This window comes from Homo sapiens, chromosome 17, assembly GCF_000001405.40.
Source record: "Homo sapiens chromosome 17, GRCh38.p14 Primary Assembly".
Taxonomy (NCBI): domain Eukaryota; kingdom Metazoa; phylum Chordata; class Mammalia; order Primates; family Hominidae; genus Homo; species Homo sapiens.
This window is the reverse complement of record NC_000017.11, coordinates 11585981-11591532: the sequence shown is the minus strand read 5'-3', so window position 1 is coordinate 11591532 and position 5552 is coordinate 11585981. Positions and strand designations below refer to the sequence as shown.

The window sequence follows — 5552 nt, the reverse complement described above, 5'->3', positions numbered from 1 at the left end:
GAGATAATTGAATCATGGGGGCAATTTCCCCCATACTGAGTAAGCCTCACGAGATCTGATGGTTTTATAAGGGGAAACCCCTTTCACTTGGTTCTCATTCTCTCTTCCCTGCAACCATGTAAGATGTGCCTTTTGCCTTCCACCATGATTGTGAGGCCTCCCCAACCACGTGGAACTGTGAGTCCATTAAAGTGTTTTTTCTTTATAAATTACCCAGTCACAGGTATGTCTTTATCAGCAGTGTGAAAATGGACTAATACAGAGACATCAGAAGTGATTGAATTGACCTGAATTGGCAAGACTGTGGATAAAAGGGTGGATCAGTCTGGGTTGGGTTAGAGCCACTCCAAGTGTTATACCAATAAGAGGCTTAATATAGAAATTAGAGCTTACACAACTATGTCAAGAACTGGGAAGTGAAGGTCAGGAAGGCTATAGCTGAACATCAGCTTTGCCACAGTGAAGTGAGTAGAACAGTCCAAGTTCACGGAAAAGTGTGAGAAACCAAAGCATCCATATGTCAGAACCTCAAAGCATGAGACCCTGGACAGATCTTCAAAAGCATAAGCCTGCCAGAACCACAGAGGGGAAGTTCTTGGAGGTGGTCTGCAAAGGCACCAAGACTGGCCACCATATCCTCTAGGATAAATTACCAGTATATCCCTTAAATTTGAATTTTAGGTAAGTAATGAGTAAATATTTAGTGTAAGTATGTCCAAATATTGCACATAAAAATGCATGGCAAAATGGGACATCCTTATACCAATCTGAAATTCAAGTTTAACCAGGTATCCTGTATTTTTATTTGTGAAGTCTTGCACTCCTACCCGTGAATAACAGCGTCCTTTTTATCTCCCCCTTTAACATCTCATGTGAATTCTACTCTATGGCAAGCTCTAGCATAAGAAGGGAGCCTTGCAGTAAGGGAGACCCTGAATGTACCTCCCTGCCTTAGAAGGGAGGGATGGTGGTGTTGGATTGGTAACAGACAATTTAGCATAGGAGATTATATTATTTTGCTAGGGCTGCCATGACAAAATATCACAGATGGGTGGCTTAGACAACAGAAATTTATATTCTCATGTTCTGGAGCCTAGAAGTTCATGATTGAGGTATCATGGGGCTTAGTTTCTTCTGAGGCCTGTCTCCTTGGCTTGCAGATGACTACTTTCTTGCTGCGTCCTCACATGGCCTTTCTTATGTGCCATGCATTACTGGTGTCTCTCTATGTGTTCAAATTTCTTCCTCTTGAAGGACAACAGTCAGGTTGGATTAAGACCCACCCAAAAGCCTTTGTTTTAACTTAATCACCTCTTTAAAGGCTCTGTCTTGAAGCAGGAGATGTGAGAGGAAAAACAAATTTTCCCTCTTTCCTTTGGTATGAGCAGCTTCCCCCTCGAATCCCTCCCCATTCTGTGTGATTGGACCCTGCTGTGCAAGTTTTTATGAGTTTATGGTTTCCTGTTTTCTGTAACTACAGTCTGTAAGTCTCTGTAGCACCATGGAGGTCATGAGACATGTTTGAGCGTGCTTAGATTGCAGCCATCTGGGTACCATAGCGAAGGACACAAGATAAGGCTGTGCAGGCATCTTGAGCAAACCTAGATAATAGCCACCTGGCCTGCATAGCAAGAGTCACATGTAAGCCTGAGTTAGGAACCTGTCACAGTTTGATTAACTGCCTTGTTCTGCTTCTGTAAGCTCACTTTCCCTGCCCCACAAGTTTTGTGCCACTGGCAAGCCATCCCACTTCGGTTGCATGGATGAAAGTCAAGCCCTGTCTTCATTCATGGCTCAGCCTTTGGATATTAATCTGCTGAGCCGGTGGTCACCTAAATAAAATCCTCCTGTTCCACCCATATGGACTCTCTGGTTTCCTGATTCCCACAACAGTCTCTATAATATAATCATAATTCATGTACTAGGAGTTAGTGTTACCAAACTGAACTTGGATCCGCCTGCCTGAAGTAGCAAAGTCAAACTCTGACATCAAGATTTGCAATGTGAGAAGAGTGAGGCATTTATTGCGGGGTGCCAAGCAAGCAGAACCAGGCGGCTTATGCTTAAGACCCAAACTCATAGATGGCTTACATGTAAGAGTTTTTAAAGTCAGGGAGGCAGAGGTTACAGACAAAGTCGTAAATCAATGCATGGGGACTATACATTGGCTTAGTCCAAATAGGTGAGATATTTTGAAGTGGGGGCTTACAGGTCACAGGTGGATTCAGAGGTTCTTTGATTTGCAGTTGGTTAAGGAAATAAGACTTTGTCTAAAAACTTGGGGTCAGCAGTAAGGAATGTTAAGGCTTTGCCTGTGAGCATGACTTTATTTAGGGCCCTCAGGAAGAAATTTAGAACAAAGAACAGTGGTCAGAATTCAGTCTTTAGTTCCTTCTTATCTGAGGTCTATGTGCCATGGATGGACAGTATTTTTCATCTGGTGAGCATCTGGGTTTTGAAAAACAACTCAGGAACAAACGTGAAGATGTTATCTTTAGTTTCTCTAGAGAATCAAATATCTTGTGGCTCTAACTTCTTTGGCTGTTGTTTCACACTACTGTTACCTTCTTGCTTTCTTTTTTTTTTTGAGACAGAGTCTCGCTCTGTTGCCCAGGCTGGAGTGTAATGGCACGATCTCGGCTCACTGCAAGCTCCACCTCCCGAGTTCACGTCATTCTCCTGCCTCAGCCTCCTGAGTAGCTGGGACTACAGGCACGTGCCACCACGCCCAGCTAATTTTTTTGTATTTTTACTAGAGATGGGGTTTCACCATGTTAGCCAGGATGGTCTTGATCTCCTGACCTTGTGATCCGCCCGCCTTGGCATCCCAAAGTGCTGGGATTACAGGTGTGAGCTACGGCATCCAGCCACTTTCTTGCTTTTTAAGGCTAGCTAGGTGCCTGGAATTTCCCTTGAAGGAGCTCACAATTTTCCTCTATTTCTATGTTTTGGGGGGACCCTAAGAGAAGTCCCTAAGAAGAGGTCCCTGCTCTGTCTTGCTAGGGGTTTAACATATGAATTTTGTAGGAACAGAATTCATACCTTAAGAGAGATCATCTTGAAACAACTTTAGTTTAGATGTAGGATAATAACAACATACTATGCAAATAAACAAAGGCCTCCCAAATGAGAACAAGCAAAGGCTATGTCAAAAGAGTCAGCTGCCATCACTTACATTTTGGTATAGATTCAAAGGCAAGCAGAGGAGTGGGAAAGATTTGTAGCAGAAAGAAGGGAAGGCTTCATGTGTGCCCTGATTGGAGGCCTTTGGCCTGTGGAAGCTGGAGTTGGTTCAGTGGAAGCAGAACATCCATGTGATTGGTTAGGGGAACTTGTTTGGCTTTCGTCAGTTGGCCCTAAGTTTGGGGACAAAAATTAGAGAAGATACCAAATTTTTTTTGAATATAATATTTTTTACTTGAACCCCCACAACTCCACCTCTTCCAGAAGCTATCAATTATTAATCAAATCCTGACCATTTGAGTCAATAAATACAGGGGTTCTTGTTTGACCTCCTAGACTGGCTGCTACAGATTGTGAGGTGAGTTCTATTTTTTATATATGGCTTAGCCATTGTTCATTTGTCTATTTTGTCTCTCAGTCTTTTTTTTTTTTTAATCTGAGTTTTGAGACCATGGAAAATGTACCTTCATACGGCATTAATATGACTATCTACTGACTTCTAATATGTACTTCCCATAATTTGATCAATGTTCAGTCTCAGTGGTTTATGGGAGTTTCTGTTTCTGATTGTAGAAAGGTGATGAGAATGGAGAACGTGGGGTATGGTTAAGCTGGAGGAGAGGAGGGTAAAATATTATTTTGACTCCTTCTCATACTTAGGACCCATGATTAACAATCAGGGGTTAGCAAACTATAGCCCATGGGCTAAATTCAACCCACCAGCCAATACTGAAAATACAGTTTTATTGGAACACAGCCATGGCTATTCATTTATACATTATCTATGACTTATTTCACACTGAAAGTGCAGAGTTGAATAGTTGTAATTATGCAGAGAATGTATGGCCCACAAGACCTAAAAAATTAATTATCTGACTCTACAGAAAAAGTTTGCTGACTTCTAGTTTGGATTAGAAACTACCAAATCTCACAGTTGAGAAGGACTCAAGATGGGAAGGATATAAAGCAGCCTCAGTTTCATTAAATAAAACTCAGAAGTGCTTTGCTGTAACAAATCCATACACTCTTCTTCTAGTAACTACTCACCACTTTTTGTTGTGGAAACTATATCCACCTTCTTGACAGCCTCCTTCCCCGCCCTAGTCCAGGTACTTCTGGTAGGGTTCAACCCCCAGTACTATGGCTGAAGCATGTGACTTGGCCTAAACTTGGATCATTCTTTCTTCTGGTCACAGTCATCAATGTGGTAATGGCCATATGATCCTATCAGGACATTAGAGTCAGACCTAAGCTTTGGTTTGAATGTTGGAATAAACTAGTATTTTCTATTTTCCACTGGACTTGAACCTAGGAGGATGTAGGACAGAGCCAATGTGACCCTCTTGACTCCATGAGGGGAAGGGTTATCTGAAAATGGAGCCAAGACAAGGGAAGTAGAGGCAAGGGACAGAGAAGAGGAAGCAGTTCCTGATGACATTTTTTTTTTTTTTTTGAGACAGAGTCTCACTCTGTCACCCAGGCTGGAGAGCAGTGGTGCAATCTCAGCTCACTGCAACCTCTGCTTCCTGGGTTCAAATGATTCTCCTGCCTGAGCCTCCAGAGTAGCTGGAACTACAGGTGCATGCCACCATTCCCGGCTAATTTTTTGTATTTTTAGTAGAGACGGTGTTAGCCAGAGTGATCTCAATCTCCTGACCTCGTGATACGTTCGCCTTGGCCTCCCAAAGTGCTGGGATTACAGGCGTGGGCCACCGCGCCCGGCCCCTGATGACATTTTTGAGCTCTACATGCAGCCTGCAAGACTAGACTTTTCATTTGCATAAACCAAGACATTCTCTCTCCAGTTAGCCAGTTTGAGGTGTTTCTGTCCCTGTTAAACAAAAATTACAACTGATGCAGGTGACACGTAAAGAAAAATTTCTTCAAGAACGAGGAGAGATGATGTTTATTTATAAAGGAGAAGGAGGCCATCAAGGAGGTAGTTGAGAGCGAGAACATAAAAGAAGATATTTCCTGAAATAACTTCTATCGGAGATGTAAAGGGTAAACCTTCAATTGCTTTGCTTAGCACATAATGACCCCAGATCACAGACTTAGCTCTTGATTTTCACCCTGCTTTTGAATTAAGGCAGTAAGCCAGAAATTAATATGGGCAGATTTCCCTGTGTTTATTCACTGTTCAATGTTTAATTCCCAGAAGGATGAAAGAAATACTTACTTAATTAAATGTGCTAAACAATAACAACCCTCGCTTGCTTTTCACCTGTACTTGTCTTACAGAAATATGCTATGAAGAGTTGATGAAGCTATTTTTAAAACAAATTCCACACACTACTTAATTATAATAATCTATAGAGTGTAACTGTACATTTCCCACCCTAGGATACGGGTGGGCAGAACAAGAAACA

At 42.1% G+C, this 5552-nt stretch overlaps 1 annotated feature.

The window, feature by feature from the left end:
- Window positions 1474-1674: a silencer, noted in NCBI's record as "peak2724 fragment used in MPRA reporter construct". NCBI's record gives its function as "represses an SCP1 promoter by STARR-seq MPRAs in K562 erythroleukemia cells {active_cell/tissue: K562}" and the evidence as "EXISTENCE:reporter gene assay evidence [ECO:0000049][PMID:32103011]".